Genomic DNA, 25421 nt, shown 5'->3' on the forward strand with positions numbered 1-25421 from the left:
CGAATGCAAAGACCTCAGGGAATTTCAGACACAGGGAGAGGGTGAGTTCCACGGTCCTCTCAGACAGAAAAGTTTGGGTTTACTGCTAGCCAAAAACCAGGAGTACAACAGGAACTGCTGACGTCATAAAGCTTGGCCAGAAACGTAGTCAGGTAGTGCCCTGAGCACAGCCTAGACACTGGCGCTCTAAGAAACAGCCCTTTGCCCAAGGCTATCTGGAAGAAATAGAACAGGGCACAACACAATAGTGTGGCAGGAAATCAACTGAGTGGGTTGGCAAAGAGCATCTTTCTTAAAAGAATAGAAGAGAACATAGAGTGTACCCTAGGTAATAAGGGAAGTATTATTTTGTAAAACATTTAAGTTTTATATATTCATATGTATGAATATTACATAGATATGTAATATATACATTATTATACAAATATGCTACTATACATATATATACACACACATGCATGTATAGAGTGGTATGGCAGGTTGTATTTTTCAAAAGTGATCACACTACTTCTCATCTCACATGTTCTTCCAGAACCTTGCCACTTCCTGATGAAGAAGTGAAATATATGTCCTTCCCCTTGAATTTGGATGGATCTTTGGGACCAGCTTAATGAAAAAATATGCAGTGGAAATGGCACCATGTCACTTCCAAGGGTCAGCTATAAAAGGTGATCACAGCTTCTGTGTAGCTGCACTCTGTAGGAATGCTTGCTTTTAAAATCCAGCCAGGCCGGGAGCAGTCGCTCATGCCTGTAACCCCAGCACTTTGGGAAGCAGAGGCGGGTGGATGACTTGAGGCCAGGAGTTCGAGACCAGCCTGGCCAATGTGGCGAAACCCCCTCTCTACTAAAAATACAAAAATTAGCCGGGCATGGTGGCACACATCTATAATCCCAGCTACTTGGGAAGCTGAGGCAGGAGAATCACTTGAACCTGGGAGGCAGAGGTTGCAGTGATCCGAGATCACACCACTGCACTCCAGCCTGGGTGACAGAACGAGACTCCACCTCAAAATAAATAAATAAGTAAATAAATAAAAATTAAAAAATAAAATCCAGCCATTGCACTGTGAAGGAACCCGAGCCACATAGGGTATGGCATCAAGCATAAACAGAGTGCAGGGATTGGCCACAGTGTTATCCATATTCTCAACACTCCTATTATGGGGTTCCCATAGAGACGGGCAGCTTGTGTACAATGGGGAAGACTTAATGAAAGAAGCTCTTGGAGTCCACCTATGGCAGGAGTAGTGGGACAGCGGGTAGGGAAAAGTATCCTTGTGGCCTCCAGCACAGCCTCCAGACAGTGGAAACCAGGGCTATCTGTGGGTCTTGGGTGGTCTGCCCTACTCCCTCCTCCTCCTGTCAGGCTCGCTACCAAACTCTACTCCTCACCCTCTCTTTCTCCAGGACTCCCTCCCATCAGGATACCTACCTGAGGACACTCCATCTCCAACTTTTCAGGTAACCTTCTCCTGCCCTCTCTACAGTCCAGCCATCATACGAATGCCTTATATGTGCTTCATCTCATTTGATATTCACTGCCATATTTATACATCGGGAAACCGAGGCATAAAGAAAGCAGTGAAGGCATTTGTCTCAGGTCAAACAGCTAATAAGTCTGGGTTTGGGACTGAATCAGGGCCATTTAATTTCACATTGCTTATTTTGAATCACTATGTTATATTCTGCAAAGAAGAATGAGTTGGAGAAGGGAAACTGAAATCTATGGGCCTGAGGTTAGTGGTGGTGGGGACTATGATGATAGCACCTGCTCTGCCACGGTCTGTGCTGTGTACCACACGGTTATGGTGTCCAATCTTTACCACTCTAGGCAAGTAAGATTATTATTATTGCCCATTTTGCAGATGAAGAAACTGAGGCTCAGAAATGTTAAGCAATTGTTCCAAGGTCATTTAGTCTGAGTCAAGATTCCATCCTGGACCTCCTATTCTTTCTACTCTACCACTCATATTCTCTCCTCGTCCAAAAGGAGCATGATGGTACCACCTTGTCTTGACTAGCCGCACTTTCACACAGGTTCATTTGGACTTTCAGTTTCTCTGTGATCTTTCTTTAAAGTCATACGCTGAAAGAGCCTTCCCTCCAGATAATTCCACACTCACCAATAGGGCCAAATGCCCTTTTAGCTACAGAGCTTGGTGGCACTTTTCTAACTAAAAAACTGCACCCACTCTCTTCTCTGAACGGCCCTACTCCAATTAGCATTATGCAAATTTTATTTTAAGAATGAAGCTTTTCATCTGTGATGAGAAAGAAACCAAAGCAATAAAGGACCCAGCACCTCAATACAAACTTAAATGACCACTTACATTTAGTTCCCAGGTTGCACCAAGTATGAAATGTCACCAGCTAAAAATCTCTAATTAAAGTCATTTTCCCAAAGTCCCTCCTTCCTTTTGCCTGCCTTCAAAATCCAAAGCTTGGCAGAAATATTTGATTGTTCAGAGCCTGTGCCTCTAACGGCAGATTTCATGAAAAAAGCAATTCTCTCCACCCTCGGTATTCAAAATCACTAAGAGACCATTTCCTCAGCAGCATTCTGCCTCTACTCTGTTAACACAGCTCAGGGAGGAGAGGGTTCTCATTCCCCGGTGACTCAGCCCCAGCAAGGCCCAAGTCACACACCACATGGCTTCTGAACCCACTCTGAGCAGGCAAACATCAAAACAAAAAACCAACAGGTGTAACAGCACAAGTCCATTCAGAAACAGAAGACAGCCATTTTCCACACAACTAATCACCAGATTTCTTCCTGGTTAAGTAATATTCTTTTCTTTTCTTTTTTTTTTTTTTTGAGATGGGGGCCCAGGCTGGAATGCAGTTGTGCAATCATGGCTCACTGCAGCCTCGACCTCTTGGGCTCAAGTGATCCTCCCACCTTAACCTCCCAAGTAGCTGGGACCACAGGCATGCACCACCATGGATAGTTTTTATTATTATTATTATTTGCAGAGATGGCATCTCACTAGGTTGGTCTCAAAATCCTTGGCTCATGCGATCTTCCCACCTTGGCCTCCCAAAGTGCTAGGATTACGGTGTGAGCTACCACGCCCAGCTTAATGGTATTCTAAACAGACAAGAACCTTAGGAAGAAAACAGAAGAGGGAGACAGGGTGAATTTCCTATTTCCACGTCAGCCAAAGGTGACGCTTCTGCCAGAGGGAAACTTCAGGAAAGGGCATCAAAAAAGAAAGTAACCCCATCCAGTCCCTTACCTTGCTGTTATCACAACACCCAGCTACACGGTTTCCCTTGAGGTTCCAGCCTGTGGCCTGTGCACATCCTGCCATATCACTATGGTTGTTCCCTGAGCGGGCAGCACAGAGGCTACTGCAGCCTCTCCTCCCACCTTGCTCTGTCTCCTGTGCATCTGTCTCCCCTTCCTACACTGTAACTGCATATCCCACCAAACCTTCATCCATGCAGTGACAGAAGACAGAGTGTCAATAAACAAAGCAGCAACTTGCCCCAAACCAGCTTCCTCTCCTATATCTCTGGTCATATAACACTGCTCATAGAACATCACTGGTCACATGTACAAGTTAATTAGAAACATCCAACATTTACTCATGCAGCCCCAGTCTACATGATCAACATGTGGCTAAGCCACAGTCTGCCTAATTTAGGGTTTCTCAATGGCAGCATGACTGACATTTTGTGCTGGGTCCCTTTTTTTTTTTTTTTTTTGAGATGGAGTTTCACTCTTGTCACTCAGGCTGGAGTGCAATGGCACAATCTCAGCTCACTGCAACCTCCACCTCCAGGGTTCAAGCACTTCTCCTGCCTCAGCCTCTCAAGTAGCTGGGATTACATGCACCTGCCACCACGCCTGGCTAATTGTTTGTATTTAGTAGAGATGGGGTTTCACCATGTTGGTCAAGCTGGTCTCAAACTCTTGACCTCAGATCATCTACCTGCCTTGGCCTCCCAAAGTGCTGGGATTACAGGCGTGAGCCACCAGCCCTGGCCTTTGGGTCACTTTTTGTTGTAGGGAGCTGACTGTCCTGTGCATCATAGGATATTTAGCAGCATTCCTGGCCTCTACTCCTAGATGCTGATAGCTCCTCAATTGGGACAACCAAAAATGTCTCCAGACATTGCCAAATATTCCCTGGAGGGCAAAATATTCCCCAGTTGAACATCACTGGGTTAAGCTAAAGGAGGACTTTCATGGAAGAAAGCCTTGAGGGGAGTTTTCATGTGGGGTTGGGGTGGGGGAAGTTTTCTTTTGTCCTTCATGTTGCATTCCCTCTCTCTTCAGTGCACTGAAGAGAGAGACATTGCATTGAGAGGTGACATTGCATTCCCTCTCTCTTCAGTGCACTGCCAACAGCTTCACCCAGAATGCCTACAACTTCCTCTCTCCTCTGCCCAAACCATGAGAGTCAGTCAGAGAGCCGACTCTCCCATTAAGGCTCCCTCAGCCCGTACAGATCACCTGTTCCAGTTCCCAAAGGCGCTTATCTGCAGACTATCGTCTCAACAAACATTTTCATAGTCTTATTGTAAGGCCTGCACCAGGCCCCTGAATACTAAGAGGAAGTAAACACAGTCCTGAGAAGCACCACAATTTATGAGAGCATCAGAGTCACAGCCAGTGTTACAGCCTGTGTGGGGCAAGTGGAGGCCACAATGGGAACGGGGAAGTCAAGGACAGGGCATTATGGGAACACAGAAGTCAGGCGCAAGGCATTAGGGGAATATAGAGGTCAAGTGCAGGGCATTATGGGAACACAGGAATCAAGTGCATGGCATTATGAGAACACAAATCAAGTGCAGAGCATTATGGAAGCACAGAAGTCAAGTGCAGGGCCTTATGGGAACACAGAAGTCAAGTGCAGGGCTTTATGGGAACACAGAAATCAAGTGCAGGGCATTATGGGAATATAGAGGTCAAGTTCAGGGCATTATGGGAACACAGGAATCAAGTGCATGGCATTATGAGAACACAAATCAAGTGCAGAGCATTATGGAAGCACAGAAGTCAAGTGCAGGGCCTTATGGGAACACAGAAGTCAAGTGCAGGGCTTTATGGGAACACAGAAATCAAGTGCAGGGCATTATGGGAACACAGAAGTCAAGTGCAGGGCATTATGGGAACACAGAAGTCAAGTGCAAGGCTTTATGGGAATACAGAAGTCAAGTGCAGGGCATTATAAGAACACAAAAGTTAAGTGCAGGGTACATGGGAGCACAGAAGTCAAGCACCTAACTCTTGAACTGGAAGGAGAAGTAGACATCCAGAAAAGCAAAACATAAAAGACCAGTAAAAATCAGCCAGGCAAATGAAACAGGGAAGGTACTCCTTGAAGACAGTAAATAGAAGCATAGTAGGTTCTCAGAAGAGCAGGCTACAGGCCAGAACACAGCAGAAGAACCAAAAACAGCAAGGCAAAACGTGGTTGGAAAAATCAGAGGCCTAGAGAATTTGCTACATGTTCAACCAGCATCTGACCCTTCAACAGACCACTTGCGGCAGCAAGGTCACTGCAGAAACTCACACATCCTGAGCGGCACATGTCTCAAACCAAACACCTCCAGGGCAACCGTAGACCTGCCCCTTTCTAGAGCTTTCTCTTTCTGAGCACCTCCAAGCACATTCTGTGCTATACTCACAAACATCCCAGCCTTCATGTCCTTACAGAAGGGGGTTTGGGGACTGCAGCCTTGAGCTACAACTGCCGTCTCTATTTACCTACCCGGGAACAGAGTGCTAATAAAGAAACAACAAGCAATGGAACTCAAACACAGAGCAGCAGAGAACCCTTGAAGAGTGTGTCTTTGACCTGTAAAATATTGGTTGTGGTAGAGGTGCTAATTCCCTACTTGCATCCTGAACAAGTTACCTTTGCACATGCTGTACCCTCTGCCGGGAATACACTTTTCCTCCCTCTCTAATTTCCTATTCATACTCTCCTCTCAAATAAGACTTCCTTTACTCACGAACTACTTCAGACCCCTGGCATATGCTCTTATTTCTCTTTCATCTCTCTTATTATAATTGTAATTAAATAATCAATGGTGTGTTTTCCTGTACTAGACTGTTAGCTCCAAAGAAACTATACCAGTCATGGGCACCATCCCTCCAGGTGGGTTTGCCCCAGTAAGACCCGCAGTACATCCAAGCAGGTTGTTGCATTGTTGAGAAACTTCTGTGCTGGTTGGTAAACAGCTACTGCTCCAAGCCCACTGCATGCCTTCCCCGGAAGCTAGACTTGATCCAAACCATGCAATGACTCTTTATAATATGGTTTCATAGCATTTCCTGTGCACAAAGTGTGGGCCCTAAGTAACAGGCTAGCTGGGAACTTTGAACTTTTGCCTGCTGTTCTTGACTAATAAATTTGGAAAAGTTGGGTTTCTTCTCCAGCTAGCTATGTTTTTAAAACCCTAATATTATAAATATAGGAATGGAAGAGAGGGGTTAGGAGTGATGGTCAAAGGAGATTTTAGCACACATTCATGTTTACAAATATAATTAGAAACTAACTTTAATGAACTTTCTCTTACATGAGTAGAATATCTGGAAGGATTTACAAGATACTAGAATCACAGAAATGAAACCCAATTTGCGTTCTTGACTTCTAGAAACATTCATCTCTGTTATCGGGGAGTAACAGTGGTTTCTCCAAGAAGGGGAGTTGGGTGACCAGAGGATGGAGAAACAGGAAGATTAACATTTCATACTTTACTCTTTTGTACCTTTGAATTTTGAATCACATGTGTGTATTACCTGAGCTAAAAGTATACAAACATGTTTTTAAAAATTAAATTTTGAAAGCACATAAATAAACTTTAATTTAAAAATGAAAGTAAAACATGAATATGTTCCTTGTTAAAACAAGTCTAACACTACAGTAGGAAATAAAATGAAATTAAGTTTTTCCCTTGCCAACTCCTGTTCATTCCCCAAATAAAACAGTTGTAAAAGTTTCTTATATATTCTCCTAGAATATCTATCTTTTAAACATAATTAACACAAATGGATCATGCTCTGCATTCAATTTCACATATTAAGTTTTCACTTACTGTATCTTAGAGATCTTTCCATATCAGCATATGCAAATCTAAATTATGGTTTTATAGGCTGCATAATAGTGTGTTGTATTAATATGACACAATTCACTTAACCCATTCCCCTATTTACATAGACACATATGGTGTTTCCAGTTATTCAGTATTATAACCAATGCTGCAATAAATAGTTGTGCTAATGTAGCTAAATGAATTTCCACAAGTCGATTTGCAAAGGTGAAGGGTGACGATTTTCACCTTGACCGCTATTGCTGAATTGCTGGGCACATACTTAATCATTCTGTGGCTTTATTTTCTCCATTTCGTATATGAGAAAATGATTGATGAGCTATCGGATTACTCCTATAAAAGGCTTGGCTAGCCTGAGAAATATGAAGCGAGATCATTTTATGTGACATTCTATCAAAGGCACTGTGTTCATTCAGAACTCCAGTTCAGAGCTTTGTGCAGAGCCAGCTCATATGGACAGCCCCAGGCCAAGCTGCTGGTCCAACGGCATCAGCCTCAGAGGCTCTGGGAAAGCAGGGCCTGGATATCCCTTGGCCAAGTTGTGTTTATCTCCTAAAACCACTTTCAGAGGGAAAGTGTGAGTAAGGTATGAGAAAAAGGGAAAGGCTGACCCAAATGAGGTGGGTCTTGGTGAAGGCAATGATGAAAAGTCAGGAAGTTCTACCCTCAAAGCCTCTCCCTGCTCTCAAAGCTCTCCCAATACCCAACCTGGTATTGGGTTTCTGCCTCTCCCTGCTCCATCATCGAGTTCCCTTGATGACACACCAAGCCTCGCTGAAGATTTTATCTTTGAAATCATCCTTTCTCTAACCACAGCAAATGTAGGAGACAGGCTTGAGTAGGACCCTCTTAACTCTAAAAGTCACCTGAAATCCCTCCACACTCCCTCACATGCAGCCAATAGAACTTTCTGCAAGGCTAGAATTGCTCTTTATCTGTGCTGTTCAATATGGAAGCCACTAACCACATGTGACCACTGAGGACTTGAAATGTGGTTAGTGCAACTGAGGAACTGAATTTTTCATCTTATCTTCTTTTAATTAATTTAAATGTAAATAATTGCTTGTGACTAGCGGCTACTATGTTGGGCAGAACAGCTATCATTGTTTTTAAAGTACTGGTGCCTTTTTAGTTCAAACCTCTTATAATCAGCCCATTCAAAAAGACAAACCCACCCTCTAGCAATCATGTAACAGATGGATGTGTATAGATATACAGCAATGCATACACCATGGGCCAAAATACTGATCATGACCTTTGGCAGTCACTGCTATGTCTGGTCAGCACACTGCCATATACCAGACAGAAATCATTACTGGTGCACTTGAGTTTGCAAGAGTAAAGATACTTTACTCATTCTTTGTTCAGCAAACATCTATTTCAGCTATGCTGTGCTGGGCCCTGGGGTTACAGAGAAATAAAATGCTGAGGGAGAAAATGGGTAAAGGAGGAAGGAAGAAAAATAAAATAAAATATGGAAAGAAAGACAAAGAAAAATACAAACTATGTGGTTAGCATTCAGTGCACACTTTTTAACATGTTATTTCATTTATTTAATTTAGTGGATGAGGCATATAAATGCCAAATGGCGATGTTATGTGATGAAGGGTTTAGTAGGCTACACACAAAGAACTTGGGGAGGATCGAAGGGCATACACTAATTTGAGCCTCCTCTTCCATTCCAAAGTGAGATTTTGAAGATTTAGTATTGATGAACCCAGCCCTGAATACCCCCAGTGCACAGTTGTGATCTTCTGTTAAAACTTAGAATACAAAAGCTGTGTGCATTGTGTTTACATAAGAATGAAGAGAAAGGGAAGTTCATTTCAACATGGAAGGCAAGAAGGCAACAAAAATGTTGAGGAACTGAGGATGCAATTACCCTCTTTACAAAGAAAGCTAATTGTAATCACACACAGACTTTTACTATAGCCTGTAACCACTCAAGAGTAGTTCCCAAGCCTCACAGAAAATTCAGTACCATCTCTGAATGTAAAATTATACCTTCTCAAAAATGCATGAAAACAATTAAATTTGAAAAACTGAATGACTAGTCTCTCAATTAGTAATATATTAATATTAATATATATTCATCTACACTGCTGAGCACTTATAATGGACCCAACATATATATTATTTATATCATCTCTAATCGTCATCACCCATCACCCTGTAAAATGAACACCCACTGTTAACATTTTATAGATAAAGAAACCAAGGTTCAGTGACGAAGTACTGATCTAGGATTCAACCCAAACCTTCTGAGGTCTGAAGTCCATACCCCAGCCCAGTGGTGAACATCCTAGCACTAATAAATGCCAGTAAAAACCCCTGAATAAGTGAATCTGTACTGGAGCTGGTACTTAGGTGAAGGTGTTAGCTGGTAATGTTCTGAGAGCAGAATTGTTAATCCAGACACAATGGATTTTATAATTAATACTTATGAAACATTGACAGAAATTGATATCCTATAAGTAGACATGATTTTATACCAGTGAATGAGAACAGAATCATAGAAATGAAAGCCAATTTGCATTATTTCATGTCTAGAAACATCCATCTCTGCAATCAGGGTACTCAGGGATTAACTGGTCTAGATGTACTAGATAGAAGGTTAGGGGTACATTCCCCAAACCTTCCTCACATTTAATTTTCTCAAGACTGCCCCTTGTCTAACACTACAATAAAGTCACATTTTAAAAACTTATCACAATAAGAAGGAGAATCTAGGAACAAACAACTGAAAATTGAAAGAAGATAATGTGTTTCTGTAATTTCAAGTGGATTTGGGTGTACCTGTAGGTCTAAGAAAGTGGCACAGTTGTCAGAAGAGGCTCTGATGCTCAGCCATTTCCCTCAATGCTTCTCTGCAACAACACCATAGGCTTAGAGTATCTGACTGTCTCTGTCAAACAAATGCAAGAATTGCATTCCCTTGCCTCCCTTCTAGCATATGTGGGAACCACCACATTTGCACTTCAGAAGTTTTCTTTGCAGGTAGAGAAACTGAGCTCACCGGGCACAGTAGCTCATCTTGTAACCCAGCTACTCAGAAGGCTTAGTCAGGAGGATTTCTTGAGGCCAGGAGTTCAAGAAGCTGAGCTGGGGATGTTGGTTGTCATTTACTGAGCATTTACTATGTCCTGGCAGTGGACTAATCACCATGCATGTATTATCTCTTTTAATCTTCATGGGAAACATGTATGTTAGATAATACTATCCCCAATTTCTAGATGATGAAACTCCACTATTGAGCTATGAAACTTTTCAAGTCTTAAACAGTGGCTCTCAACATGTTTACCCAGGGTGAGAAGAAGGGAGAATACTTTCAAAGACACCAATGTCTATGATTCACCCCTAGAGACTGTTACACCCTTGCTCTAGGATACAGCCTGGGCATCCAGAGTTTTAAGAATTTCACGGGCAATTCTAATGTGCAGCAAAGACTAAGAACCACTGCACAAAAGCAAGTCAGTAGAGGAGACAGGATTTGAACCCAGGCCTCTCTAATCCCAGAACCTGAGACCTTGACTGCTTGCCCTATACTGCCCTAAAGCTGAAATTAAGAATACTGGATGTTGGCAATCAATGATAATTGTTATAGGATATCCAAGCTTGATCAATCCTAGCATTCCAGGCTGTTCAGTTCTTCCACGGAGTGCCAGGTCTTTCCATTTAAGGGTTAACATTAGTTCTTTTTTTTTTGTTTTTTTGAGATGGAGTTTTGCTTTTGTTACCCAGGCTGGAATGCAATGGCGCGATCTCAGTTGGCTGCAACCTCTGCCGCCAGGTTCAAGCAATTCTTCTGCCTCAGCCTCCCAAGCAGCTGGGATTATAGGCACCCACCACCACGCTCAGCTAATTTTTGTATATTTTTAGTAGAGACAGGGTTTCACCATGTTGGCCAGGCTGGTCTCGAACTCCTGACCTCAGGTGATCCACCAGCCTCAGCCTCCCAAAGTGCTGGGATTACAGGCATGAGCCACCGTGTGTGGCCAACATGAATTCTTTATTTGTGAACCATGTACACCTCCTGGACTGTAATCAGTCCATCTACGATGACTGCTCTCAGAGCCCTAGCTTTGGGCAGCACTCCTCATCGCTAGAAAACCAAGAGTTCGGACTTCCTCCCATTTCAGGACTGGCTGGGTCTCCTGGCAGCAATTTTGCTACCAGATGTTTTCAGAAATCAAAACCAGATATGTTTCCTATTAAATCAGAGAACAGCTTTCAATGTAAACAGTAGTTGGGTAATTACCCTAACATCCCTAGTTCACTTCAAGAAATGCAGAGCTCTTTAAATACTTTAAAATAGTGCTTATTTTGTTATTTTTAAAGCCCCAGCTTTGCCAAAATTTCCCTGGTGTGTGTCTGTCCTGCTCTGGATACATTCTCCACTGCTCTTCTCCTACTGTTCCTCCCCACAGACAGAAGGAACTGCTGCAATCAGCTGTGTATTCAGATGGATGGGAATAAAAAGAATAGGGTTTGGCCTATTACACAGATTACTTCATCTGCTAACCTAAAAGTCCATCAGATCATCGTGAAGAAGTCATCTCACAGTCCACATCTACTAAGGTTGATATAATTTGGTACAATAAGCATTTAACAGTAAGATCTCCTTCCCCAGCCCTTCCCACAGAAGCTAGGGTAGTGCGGTGCCCACACTGGGCCCAAGTTTATTTCTGGATTCTGAGACCTCCCTCCAGCTCTGAAGGTGCATGAGGGTCCACCCTGGACATCTGCCCTTCTTCATCCTCCCACATCCACGCTGCCAGCACACACCTATGGGCTCTGACTTTTCTTCTTTCTAAATGAGTGGGGTTTGGGGTGAAAAACTCCCTATAAAATGACAAATCTGAGATCATTGCAAGTGATAAATCTCTTTCAAACGAAATGTGGCACACGTAACTTACGCATCACATAGATAAACACCCAACAAAAAGGAGAAAATAACTGAATTTAGGGTTCTGTCCGATTTCATACGTTGTGTTAAAAAATGTATCTTTTCCTGAAAATTGGTAAGATAGTAGATTTTGAACTAGTCTCACTGCAAAAATAAATGTTACGAATAGTAAGTTCTCCCTTCATCAATACGTTCTTGGAAATTGCAACTTTGCACTTAAAGTATATTGAGTATATTGTATTGGTATAACAACATACCAATGTGAAACCAATTTGACATAGACTAATTGATATAAACAAGAGTTAAGTTCCTATGGCATATTTCTGGTCACAAAAATATCACCAAACTTCTAAATAAACACCCAAAACACTTATAATATTAAATACTGAAGTAAATGTGATAGATAGATAGATACATATTTAAGAAAGATTAACAAAAACAAGTAAGATAATCATTTACCCAATTATTCCAGTTTAGGAGCATGTGTGGCTGCAGCCTGTCCTGGCTGCTCAGGATACAAGGAGAGAACCAGCCCTGGACAGGATATCATCCCATGGCCAGACACACCCACACACACACCCCCACACTCACTCAGATGGGGACTGTGTAGACACGCCAATTCTCCTAATAACACAGCTTTGGGATGTAGGAGGAAACTAGAGCACCTGGGGAAAACCCAGGCAGACACGGAGAGAGCATGCAAACTCCATACAGACAGTGGCCAAGGCCGGGAATCAATTTTTTTTCTAATCGTTATAATGAAAGGATGCTGAACATTGTATGTGAGGTACTGCTTATGTTAATTAGCTTGACTTAGCCATTCCACAGTATATACAGGCACACCTCACTTTATTGTGCTTTGCTTTATTGCACTTTTCAGCTATTGCATTTTTTTAAACAAATTGAAGGTTTATGCGACCCTGCGTCAAACAAGTCTATCAGCACCATCTTTCCAATAGCATGCGATCTCTTTATGTCTCTCTATCACATTTTGGTAATTCTCACAATATTTCAGACTTTTTCATTACTGGTATTATGAAACATAGTGATCTAAGCAACAGATTTTCAATGTAGATGAAACAGCCATCTCTTGGAAAAAGATGTCATCTAGGACTTTCATAGCTAGAGAGAAGTCAATGCCTGGCTTCAAAGCTTCAAAGGACAGGCTGACTTTCTTGTTAGGGGCCAATGCAGCTGGTGACTTTAAGTTGAAGCCAAAATTCATTTACCATTCCAAAAGTCTTAGAGTCCTTAATAATTATGCTAAATCTACTCTGCCTGTGCTCTATACATGGAACAACGAAGCTTGGATGACAGCACAATATTTTAAGCCAACTGTTGAGAGCTACTACTCAGAAAAAACGATTCCTCTCGAACCATTACTGCTTATTGACAATCCACCTGGTCACCCAAGAGCTTTCATGGAGATGTCCCAGGAGATGAGTGTTGTTTTCATGCCTGTAGCCCATGGATCAAAGAGCAATTTTGACTTTCAAATCTTATTATTTAAGAAATATACTTTGTAAAATGATACCTGCCATAGATAGTGATTCCTCTGAAGGATCTGTGCAAAGTACACTGAAAACCTTCTGGAAAGAATTCCCTATTCTAGAAGCCATTAAGAACATTAGTGATTCAAGGGAAGAGGTCAAAATATCAACATTGACAGGAGTTCAGAAGAAATTGATTCAAATCCCCATGAATGACTTTGAGGGATCCAAGACTTCAGTGGGGGAAGTCACTGCAGATGTGATGGAAATAGCAAGAGAACTAGAATTAGAAGTGGAGCCTGAAGATGTGACTGAATTGCTGCAATCTCATGATAAAGCTTGAATGGATGAGAAGCTGCTTCTTATGGATGAGCAAAGAAAGTGGTTTCTTGAGATAGAACCTACTCCTGTTGAAGATGCTCTGAACACTGTTGTAATGATAAGAAAGGATTTAGAATATTACATAAACTTAGTTGATAAAGGCGCAGCAGGATTTGAAAGGAGTGACTCCAATTTTGAAAGAAGTTCTACTGTGGGTAAAATGCTATCAAACAGTATCACATGATATTGAGAAATCTTCCTTGAAAGGAAATCAATCAATCAATGCAGCAAACTTCATCATTGTCTTATTTTAAGAAATTGCCAGCCAGGCACGATGGCTCATGCCTGTAATTCCAGCACTTTGGGAGGCTGAGGTGGGTGGATCGCTTGAGGTCAGGAGTTCGAGACCAGCCTGGCCAACATGGTGAAACCCCGTCTCAACTAAAAATACAAAAATTAGCTGGGCATGGTGGTGGGCACCTGTAATCCCAGCTACTCGGGAGGCTGAAGAAGGAGAATTGCTTGGACCCAGGAGGCAGAGGTTGCAGTGAGCAGAAATTGCACCATTGCACTCCAGCCTGGGCGACAAGAGCAAGACTCAGTCTTAAAAAAAAAAAAAAAAAAAAAATCATCACAGCTACCCCAACCTTCAGCAACCAGCACCCTAACCAGTCAGCAGCCATCAACATCAAGGCAGGACCCTCTACCGGCAAAAGGATTACAACTTGCTCAAGGCTCAGATGATCATTCGCATTTTGTAGCAAATTAAAATATTTGGGACCCAGCAATCCCACTACGGGTATACCCAGAGGAATCTAAATCATTCCACCATAAAGACACATGCACACAAATGTTCACTGCAGCACTGTTCACAACAGCAAAGACATGGAATCGATCTAAATGCTCAACAATGGCAGACTGGGTAAAGAAAATGGGGTACATAAACACCATGGAATACTATGCAGCTATAAAAAAGAATGAGATCATGTATTTTGCGGGAACATGGATGGAGCTGGAGGCTATTATCCTTAGCAAACTAACACAAGAACAGAAAACCAAATACCACATGTTCTCACTTACAAGTGAAAGCTAAATGATGAGAATTCATGGACACAAAGAAGATAACAACAGACACGCGGGTCTCCTTACGGGTGGAGGGTGGGAGGAGGGAGAGAAGCAAAAAAAAAAAAAACTATTGGGTACTAAGCTTAGTATCTGGGTGACAAAATAATCTGTATGACAAACCCTTGTGACATGAGTTTACCTAGCTAACAAATATACACATGCTCCTGTTAAAAAAAAAAGAACCTTTCTCTAGAGTTTAAAAAAAATCTGGAAAATTCTTTATCCTAATGAAAATATATGTTCACGTGCTTTATATTTATGTTCAATATTTTTATTGGGATTGAATTTCAATTATTTAATATTTAATATAGAACGTTTTATGTCTAAGTAACTGGAAACTTAAAAATAAAAAAAATTTAATGAAAGTATGTACATTGTTCTTTAGACATAATACTACTGCACACTTAACAGATTACAGTGTAGTGTAAACATAACTTTTATATGCACTGAGAAATATAAAAATGTGTCTGACTTGCTTTATTGCAGTGGCCTGGAACCGCACCCACAATTCTCCAAAGTAAGCCTATACATATTGCAAAACAACACATTGTATATGATCGATATATACCATTTTTATATGTTAATTAAAAACATAAAAATTAAATATGTATCTTTTCATCTCCCCAGCTCCACCATAAAAATCAACCCCCTCTAAGTATTAAATGAATCCCCTTCTAAAGGAAATTGATTGAGAATACAAATACCAGTCTGGCAATAACACCACATTAATGATCAGTAACACACCAACTTCTGCATACACTGGCAGGGACTAAACACGGCAAAGGAAGAGGGCTCAGCAGCCAGCCACAGGCGCCGAGGCTGAACAGGGAGGAGGGAGGAGTTAGCATTCCGGTGAAGGTATCGGCTGGCAGCCTTCCAAGCTTGCAGATGTTCACCAACTCCTGTCTTCATCAGGAGCCAGATTTCCTGATGCTCGTTGAGCACCACTTCTCAGATTCATATTTGATTACTAAGGAAATAATATGCATATAAATGAGTTCCAGAGACTGCCCATGGCTATAATCTCCTATCGATCACAGTAATAATGTTCTGTACTTGTACTGGGCCCTCAATCTGAAGAGACCAAGATCCAATCCCACCGTTTCCCTATCAGAATAGCCATAGAATTAAAACTATTTAGGGAAACAAGCTCTTGTTTCACATTATCCAGAGCCAAGGACAAACAGATCTCGTCATTTGGCAATGCCTGGCTTCTTTCCCCTCCAAGTATGGTTCTGAAGTGGGAAGAAGATTCTTACAGCCAAAGAACCAGGAGGAAAAGACAGCTGGGTCTGGCATCTCTGTTCTTCTTAACAGGCTTGCTTTCAAAAGAAAGGCAACATTTTTTCCCTTATTTCTGCAGAATCAAGAGGTTTGCTCTAAAACAAGAAAGCTTAATGCTGCCACTTAGAAGACACACAAACCAAGTAAAACTCAGGACTAATCTTCAAGAGATCAATAGCTTCTGGCCATGTGTGACACAGGCTTGTCCTGCTGGGTTGCACAGTCCAGACGTCCAACCTCAGCTGTCCTACACCTCTCAGGTGGACGCCACAATGTAGGTCTGATCTTTTCATAGAGCATCACACCACAGAGTGGGCTAAATGTGTCAACCTTGATCAGAAGGAGAGTGCTGGGTGGCAGGAGGAAGGTTAGAGAATGTCTGTTTATTCAACCTCAAAAGGAAAAAAATGATGCTGGCAGGGTCAAAAATAGACTAGCAGAGGGAGACGGGATCTCAAAACCACCATGCTGGAGTCTGAACCAATTGTTCTGTCCACTTTGCTAATAATCACAGCCCATTCCTAGCCCAATAACAAACTGAAAGTTAACAAAGCTGCAGCTCTGGGGATTCTAATGTGACAGGGACAGGCTTTTGAAATAGCCACATCATTAAATGGAATTTGTTTCAAATCACCTTTAAAACCTCCAAACACAGGCCTGTACACTTGCAATTCCCAAAACTGAATCCTAAGAACCAGCATGCCCAGGCTGCCCCAGGAGAATGAGGGGGAAAGCATCAAGACAGAGAACTGTATGTGTTAGAACCCGGGGGACCACTGGGGTCATTAATTATATCGACTGGTGGCTGTGATCTCTAGGTTGGAGGTTGTTACAGTGTGGGGAGGATCCACATCCTGAAAAGCCTGGAAAGAGCCTGGGATTCAGACACAGGACATGGTGAAGCCGGGAGAGTCTGAGCAACAGCCAAGGGATACACCAGGCCCACTCTGGCCACCTGCTAATCCTAAAGTGGCTTATCAAGCAGCGTCAGCAAACACACCCCTGACACTGGCAGCGAATCACACGTGTAGGCCACATCCACTGCCCCAAGCACATGTATGCAAGTGGCCACCAGCTACAGCAAGGGGAGCCTTGCATGGAAGCAGGGATCCCAAGAAAAAGGGTAAGGGCCGATGTGATCCCACTCATCTGTCCTGCTGATGGTGGAAAGGGATGTTAGAGATCAGAAGCACATATTTGAGCCTTTTCTCCTTTCACCAACTGGCAGCAACAACATCCTTCATCCCCACCAGTCATTTCTCTGCCCATCTTCTAGGTGTCCAAAACAGAGATGGTTTCCCCAATTCTGAGTCCATCCAGCTCTAAGTAACAATAAGTATTGGCAAAAATGGGCTCATCTGTAAGGGATGCTTTTGGAACCTATCTGATCTCCTAGATGTTAAAATAAACAATCCGCTGATTTCACCACCATCCCAAAAGATCACAGAAGATCGGTGTCAGAAGGCTTATTAGTGTCCTAGGACTGCTGTAAGAAAGGACCACAAAGCAAGTGGCTCAATAAACAGAGTTATTGTCTTAGATCTAGAGGCTGAAATCTGAGATGAAGGTGTGGGCAGGGCTGGATGCTTCTTAAGGTTGTAAAGGAAAATCTGCTCCAGGCCTCTCTCCTATCTCTTGGTAGTTTGCTGGCAATCGTTGGCATTCCTTGGCTGGTAGATGCATCAGCCTGCAAGTCAGGTGCTGGTGCTCTCTCTGTGTGTCTATGTCCAAATTCCCCCCTTTTTATAAGAACATCCGACATGGTGTATCAGGGCCCATCCTAGTGAACTCATTTTACCTTTAAGATATTAAAATATGAACTTAAGATATTCTGAGGCTGGGTGCAGTGGCTCACGCCTGTAATTCCAACACTTTGGGAGGCTGAGGTAGGCAGATCACTTGAGGTTAGGGAGTTTGAGACCAGCCTGGTCAACATGGTGAAACCCCATCTCTACTAAAAATACAAAAAAAGCTAGCCAGGCATGGTAGTGGGCACCTGTAATACCAGCTACTTGGGAGGCTGAGGCAGGAGAATCACTTGCACCCGGGAGGTAGAGGTTGCAGAGAGCTGAGATCGTGCAATTGCACTCCAGCCTGGGTGACAGAGCGAGACTCCTTCTCAAAAAAAAAAAAAAAAAAAAAAAAAAAAAAAGAGTTTTCCAGTCAAAGCAAAGTCATTAGGGAAAAGGCATCAATCAAAAAAGTAAAGAGAACAGAGTTATAAAGCCTCAAACATTTGAGGGTAGGAGGTGAGGATGAAAGAGGCACAGAGGGCTGAGGAGGGCTGGAACTCTATCCTGAGGGTGAAATGGAGTCACTGGAAGCATTGGGCATTACTGGCCACAGTGGAGAGAATGGAGGTGGTAGAATTTGGGGTGGATTTGGAGGGAGGAGGGAGGTGGACATCTAGCATGGCTTCCAAGTCTCTGGTGTGTGCCTGGGTGGAGGGATGGAGGGGGCACTCGTGGTGCCCTGAACAGAGGCAGGGAAGAAAGGAGTGGAGCAAGCTGACGCAGCAGGGAACAAGACCATGCTTGTTATAAAGGTCTGGCTTCAGCAGTTCCTTCAAAAACCTCATTCTTAGCAACTTCTCTAATTGGCCACACCTGACTCTGGGGACAATCATCTTATACATGGAACGCTAATGTACTCGTTCATTTACCTGTTGTTTTGTAAGTGCCCATCAGTCATTTCTTGCAAGTGATGGTGAGGGCTTCAGTGTTGCCCTCTCATGCAGCCCATGGGATGTTCTGGAAGGGAGCCCCTCCTCCCAATTGTTTATCCTCCACCCCTATAAGGCACAGAGCACAGCATGTTCTCTGCACAAAGGAAGTGCTTGACAAAAGTGGCTGGCCAATGGTTTCCTTTTCTTGCTTTAGCCTCAAGGAAAGGGTAAGCCTCAGGTCCCCTTCACTATTTGTGCTCTTATTAGTCTTCCACCTGATAAGGATCTGGTGAACAAATTTGAATAGAAAATGGAAGTTTCCAAATGCCATTGCAACACTCAGTCTTCCTCATAAGTGTCAAGGGAGGCACAATATCTGCCTACTGCCTGCATGTTGTTTGCAGCAGCTCCTGGGCATACAGCTAAAGTCAGTGTCTCGCACCACTAAACCACCAAGGAATTTATAAACTTTTCCAAAACAGCCTCTGAGGGTCATGCTTCTAGAAACCTGGTGGACAGAGATCTGGCTGTACCTCCTGAGATGCTCTGTTCTTAAAGCTGCTGACTTCTAGCCCTAGCTCTGGAGACAGAACCAAAAGTCTCTAAAACAGGGGCTAATTTTAACGCTGGAATACAGAGAGGTGGAATGACTCCTTCTGCCCTTGGAGAGCCACCTGGGCAATCCAGGGCAACTGCAAGAAGAAGAAAGGGCTACTCAAAAAAACAAAAACTGATTTGGTGCCTGTAATCCCAGCACTTTGGGAGGCTGAGTTGGGAGGATCACTTGAAACCAGGGGTTTGAGACCAGCCTGGGCAACCTAGTGAGACACCGTCTCTACAAAAAAAACATTTTTAAATTAGCCAGGCATGGTGGCACATGCCTACAGTCCCAGCTACTTGGGAGGCTGAGGTAGGAGGATTGCTTGAGCCCAGGAGGTTGGGGCTGCAGTGAGCTATGACTGTGCCAGTGTAGTCCAGCTTAGGTGACAGAGGGAGACCCTATCTCAAAGAAAAACAAAGAACAGCCTTTGTTGCATTCTCATGGTCCATAAATGATGCGACAGCCAAGCATGACAGTGCATACTCTCCTCTCCTTAGTTACAGACCCACAGTTCTTGCCATGAAGGGTGCGAAAACTCTGCCTTCACAGAACAGAACTCTATGGGTACCTAAAGCATTCAGAAAAAGTTATGTGGTTTCTATTCAAAGCTCATAGAAACTCTAAGTATGCTAAGTGATAGGGTTTGGCTGAGTCCTCACCCAAATCTCATCTTGAATTGCAGTTCCCATAATTCCCATGTGTTGTGGGAAGGACCCAGTGGGAGATAACTGAATCATCGGGGCGGTTTCCCCCATATTGTTCTCATGGTAGTGAATAAGCCTCACAAGATCTGATAGTTTTATAAGAGGTTTCTCCTTTTGCTTGGCTCTCATTCTCTTTTGCCTGCCACCATGTAAGATGTGCCTTTTGCCGTCCACCATGACTGTGAGGCCTCCCCAGCCACATGGAACTGTGAGTCCATTAAACCTCTTTTTCTTTATAAATTACCTAGTCTCGGATATGTCTTTATCAACAGCATGAAAACATACTAATACACTAAGGTTAAGACTTTGTACTTCCTCTCAAATAATATTTCCTCCAGCAGTAAATTTTCCCAACTTCTATAAGACTAACTGGCTTTCCTGACTTGGTTCTGGAGAACTGTCACCACCATTCAATTAAGGAATGCTGCTGCTGCTCTTTCCGAAGAACGCTGCCAGAGCTGCCCAGGTGAGAAGGCACACCAGCCAAATTCTGTTCCTGAGAATTTCCTCCATATTCCAGAATGTCAAACCAGGCCAAGATTTCTGTGATTTTTTACCCCTAGACCACAAATGATCTGGCCTCTCAATGGACAGCACAACATTTGGATTCTAGGTGGGGCTGAGGGGGACGTAAGTAATCATGACGCCACAGTTGCAGATGTTAACTAAGCTAAAGCTCCTTTTAGCACAGGCAGAGGGGCCCAATCCTCTGTAGCATGAATTAACACCAGGGAATTACACTGGACTTATCTTCACTTGCGCTTAGTCACTTTGAAAATCCATGAGTGTGTTTGGGGTCTCCAAGATCACCCCCAGGTTTGGTAAGAGGTGATCTGGTAGCAGGACTCAGCATACAGCTGTTCCTATGGCTAAGAGTTATGACAGTGAAAGAGGATGAAGCACAACCAGCAAAGAGAAGGTGCATGGGATGAAGACCGGAGCACACCAGGCCCAAGCTCCCAAGAGTCCTCTTCCAGTGGATCACACTGGACGTGCTTAACTCCCCCAGCAAATAGCAGTGGCTACAGATGTGAAGTGTTGTCAACCAGGGAAGTTCGGTAGAAACTCATCACCCAGGGACCTTATCGTGGGGCTGCTGATGTAGGCAGCCTCTGCCTACCATGTCCCAAAATTCCAGACTCCCAAATAGAAAGCAGTGTTCAGTATAAATCATACTGTTTGCACAAGCAGCTTCGGCACAGCAAGCCCATCTTATGATTTAGGAAAAATTGTATATTGGCGAAGGAAACTGTTTATCAGTTAAGTTGCCAGACACCAGCCAAGGGTCAACTTTGCAGGCAGGCCCTTATAAGGACAGCAGCCTAGGGCCTGCACGATGAATAAATCAAGACTCCGGTGAGGTATGTAAATCCCAGGCCTCAGCTGCTTTGTGATTGGTTGTCCTTGTTAAGGTTTCCTACCACACCTTGACCTTAGAGTAGCCCTCACCTCTGGGCTGGCCCCATGTGATGCAATGGTGCTCATTCTTTGTACACTTCGGGCAACTCCTGCCGGAGTTTTTAGTGACATCACAGAATTTCTTAGAGCCACAGGGCCCTGAAAGAACATCTGGTTCATTCCCCTTGGAATACAGATGTGGCGAGGTTTAGTGACTTGCCCAGACTAAGTCTGGCCTTGAAAACCTTTCTCTTCCGCCAGACTCTACTGGCCCCAAACATGGGAAGGGCTTTGACATTGACGAGGCCTTCATCCACGGCCCTCATCCATGACCCACAGGCCTGAGAGGAGGGAAACAGACCAGCAACACGGAGGCCCGAGCCTAGGGAGTGGCCTGGCTGTGCAACCAGGCCTGGTGAGGTCAGGGAGCCATCGCCAGCAGTTCAGTCATGATGTACGAGAGCTTGTAGAGAACACAGGCTCAGGGCCAGTCCACTCTGATCAACACAGGGTCACCTTGAGGTGTCTTGAGACTTCATCAGCAAAGCCCTCCGAGTAGCTGTCAAGCAGGTGGTGGCATGGGGGCTCTAGGGTCCATCAATTTGAAACCAGTAGCTTGGGGGAGAGGGGCGGCCAAAGGCCAAGCAGCTTGCCTTGGCCCCAGGCAAACAGGATGCACCATCATCTCAGGGGAGCAGGCGGGCAAGTCAGCAATTGCAGAAGGTGGCAAGGACCAGGGTTGGGAATGCTCACCCCAAAGACACGCTGGACACCAGGTTAAGGTCGGCAAACGAATGATCCTGTGTCAAATGCACCACGGGAGTGAGGGTTTCCACTGCATTCATGTGTGTGTTCCATGTCATGTTTTCTTTGACTAGGGCCCCACTCACCACCACAATTTTCCATCCTCATGCAAACGGGAAGCAGACACATGGGGATTTGGATTGGATTTAAAAGGCTCCAGTTCAGCTCAGCACTGTCTTAAATTCAGGAGATAAAAAGTTAGGTTTGGCGGGTAGTAGCTGTTTTCTATCACGTGGACTGGGAAGCAGAAAAAGTGAATGGTCAAAGAGAGATGCTCAGGTGGGAGGCAAAGGAAGAAAACTCCTGGGTTCCCTGTGTCCCTGATTCTGATCCTTCCTGAGGCTAAGCCACGGCTCTGTCTGGGGCTCCATGAGATCCAATCAAATGCAATGCCTGACCCGAGACTGGATCATATTGAGAGGGGGAGGATGCTGTAGTGGGTCAACTGGAGACACTGGCATATGGACGGTGAATTGGATAAAAGCATTGCATCGATATTAAAAATACTAAAGTTGATCATTCTCCTGTGGTTATGTAAGAAAACATGCCAGTTCTTAGGAACCACACACTTGAAGTATTTCAGACTAATGGATGGACTAATGGCATCCATCCTGGCTGTTATAACAAAACACCATAAACTGGGTGGTTTATGAACAACAGGCAGTTGTAGCTCACAGTTCTGGAGTTGGGAAGTCTAAGATCAAGGTGCCCGCAGATTCGGCATCTGGTGAGGGCTCGCTCCCTTCCTGTTTACAGGGGGCGCCTTCTCGCTGTGTCCTCACAGCAACATATAAATTTTGCAAGGATACAAACTTTCCAACCAGAGCACCCCATATCCTAATCATACCTTGCCCACCTTGCCCTCTTTTTGTCTACTCCTCAAGCAGGCTTCTGTGACTTGTAAGCAAAGCAGGCCTAACATTTACCATTAGGATCGGCTGAGCCAAGCAGGCAGACTTAGCTTCTTCACTCTGTATGACAAATAAAGCTTGTGGAAGTGTTCCAGATGAAAGGAGACTAAAGACAAGATCGCACTGCTCCCAAGCTTTGGGACTGGAGCACACCGTCTGACTCCTCTGAAGCTCAGTGTTCCTTGGCTGTAAAATATCTAGTTAGACAGTCCCACCATCCCTTTTCCAGGGATTCTGGGCCAGATGTGAAAGGGAATCTGGTGACGCATTTACTGGATGTTACGTACCATCCCTGGTGTTTTTCAGCAAACTTTGTGAACATTCACATGCCGGGAAAGAAGATAAAACTATTGCCTCACATCAGTTCAGCTCAGGTTTTATAAGCAATTGAGTTTGCACCAAACCTATCAAAGAAAGAATTCAATTTTCAAAGGTTCATTTCGTTTTGTTTTTCAAATTCAGAATTGAAGATAAGGAACTGTGTTTATCTCCTTGGGTTCTTTTGAAATTTCCATCCTGCTTCCAGGTCGATCCAGGTGCAGCATTTTGAAGAACGCCTGTTACCTTCTATTATTGCATCACTTTATGTCTCTGTCTCTCACTGGGCTGCAAGCTCTTTAAAACCCAGAGCTATTATCACAGTCATTTTTGTATGCACCTCACTACCTAGCAAAGTGTTTCATGTACAGCGAGGCTTGAATAAATGTTTATCAAATGAATAAATGCGGTTTCAAAGATAATTTCTTTTCAGTATTCAAAACACAATGCATAGTTGCAGATTTCCTAGAGTGAGCAATTATTGAGTCATTTGAAGATACATAAATCTAAAAATTCAGGTGGCAATGTCCTTATTCCTTTCAATTCACCCTTTTTAAAGCATCCTCAATAAAACTATATTCCCATAACTTTAAACAAGCAAGTCAAATAGAGGTAGTAGCAGAAGTGACAGAAGCAACTTAGATTTAGTGAAAGCTACAATATGCGAAGTATTCTTTAAAGAACTTTATGTGTATTAAATTATAACCTGTCAACCATATTTTAAAATTTGTTCATTTTACTGATATGGAAACAAGACAGGCAAGTTGCCTAAAGACACACAGCTAGTAAGTGGCAGCTGTCAATCCCAGGCCATCAGCCTCCATAACCTATGATCACATGACCTCTCACATAAGGGGAACACAAAACCCCCTTTTGCTTTCATTATGGGTTGAATTGTGTCTCCCCAAAAGATGTCACAGTCCTCACTTCCAGTACCTGTGAATGTGACCTTATTTGGAAACAGAGTTGTGGCAGATGTAATTAGTCAGGATGAAGTCATGAGGGTTGGCCCTAATCCAATATGACTGGTGCCACCTATATAAAGGAAAAATTCAGACACAGGCATGCACACAGGCAGAACCCCACTGAACATGAAAGCAGAGACGAGGTGATGCATCCTCAGGCCAAGGAGCATCAGAGACTGCCGGCAGGCCAGCAGAAGCCAGGACAGGGCTGGAACAGACTCCCTCACAGCCCTCAGAAGGAACCAGCCCTGCCCACACCTTGATACCTCCAGCTTCCAGCCTCCAGAACTGAAAAAAATTAATTTCTGTTGTTTAAGCCACCCAGCTGATGGTACTTTGTTACGGCAACTCCCGGAAACTAATATAAGCCCATCAAACTGCTAAAAGACATTAGCTAGAATCAGCAATGCCAATACATAATCCTGCAGAAGGCATGTGCATAACATAATAATTGCACCTTTGTTGGACTGAAGAGCTAAAGATACAGGACATTAATGCGGCTTCCAACTCACTGGCATGCCCCCAAGTCCTACTTCCTGGCCTTTCAGTAGCTATGTCTTAAAAAAAGAAAAAAGGAAACTAGAAACCCAAAAAACCAAGTGAAGACACATTTCCATGCTACCCGCCAGCTCCTCAGAATGAGCAATGCCACCACTCCCGTCCAGGAGCACACATGTTCCCACACTCACACATCAGCCACAAAGCAGACACTTCCCACTCTCTGCCCCGCAACCCACTGATGATATTCTCCACCCTCCCACAGACAGTGCATGAGTCACAGACAGCAGGTGGCAGCTGGGGACCACTGTCAATGCTTCCCAGTCCTTCTGTGGGCTGCAAGAGGGGGAGAGAGGTGGCCCCA

The 25421-nt window shown here is 43.7% G+C and overlaps 1 protein-coding gene across 2 annotated transcripts in view, besides 4 other annotated features; it reads right to left on the bottom strand.

Annotated features, from left to right (window-relative positions):
• Positions 1-25421, bottom strand: part of GFOD1 (Gfo/Idh/MocA-like oxidoreductase domain containing 1) — a 129771-nt gene that overhangs the window by 71597 nt on the left and 32753 nt on the right. The gene's annotated exons all lie outside the window — the stretch shown is intronic.
• Positions 1632-1731: an enhancer, noted in NCBI's record as "active region_24028". NCBI's record gives its function as "activates an Ori minimal core promoter by ATAC-STARR-seq in GM12878 lymphoblastoid cells {active_cell/tissue: GM12878}" and the evidence as "EXISTENCE:reporter gene assay evidence [ECO:0000049][PMID:35858748]".
• Positions 1822-1881: an enhancer, noted in NCBI's record as "active region_24029". NCBI's record gives its function as "activates an Ori minimal core promoter by ATAC-STARR-seq in GM12878 lymphoblastoid cells {active_cell/tissue: GM12878}" and the evidence as "EXISTENCE:reporter gene assay evidence [ECO:0000049][PMID:35858748]".
• Positions 2720-2769: an enhancer, noted in NCBI's record as "active region_24030". NCBI's record gives its function as "activates an Ori minimal core promoter by ATAC-STARR-seq in GM12878 lymphoblastoid cells {active_cell/tissue: GM12878}" and the evidence as "EXISTENCE:reporter gene assay evidence [ECO:0000049][PMID:35858748]".
• Positions 3511-3560: an enhancer, noted in NCBI's record as "active region_24031". NCBI's record gives its function as "activates an Ori minimal core promoter by ATAC-STARR-seq in GM12878 lymphoblastoid cells {active_cell/tissue: GM12878}" and the evidence as "EXISTENCE:reporter gene assay evidence [ECO:0000049][PMID:35858748]".

This window comes from Homo sapiens, chromosome 6 (assembly GCF_000001405.40).
Source record: "Homo sapiens chromosome 6, GRCh38.p14 Primary Assembly".
Taxonomy (NCBI): domain Eukaryota; kingdom Metazoa; phylum Chordata; class Mammalia; order Primates; family Hominidae; genus Homo; species Homo sapiens.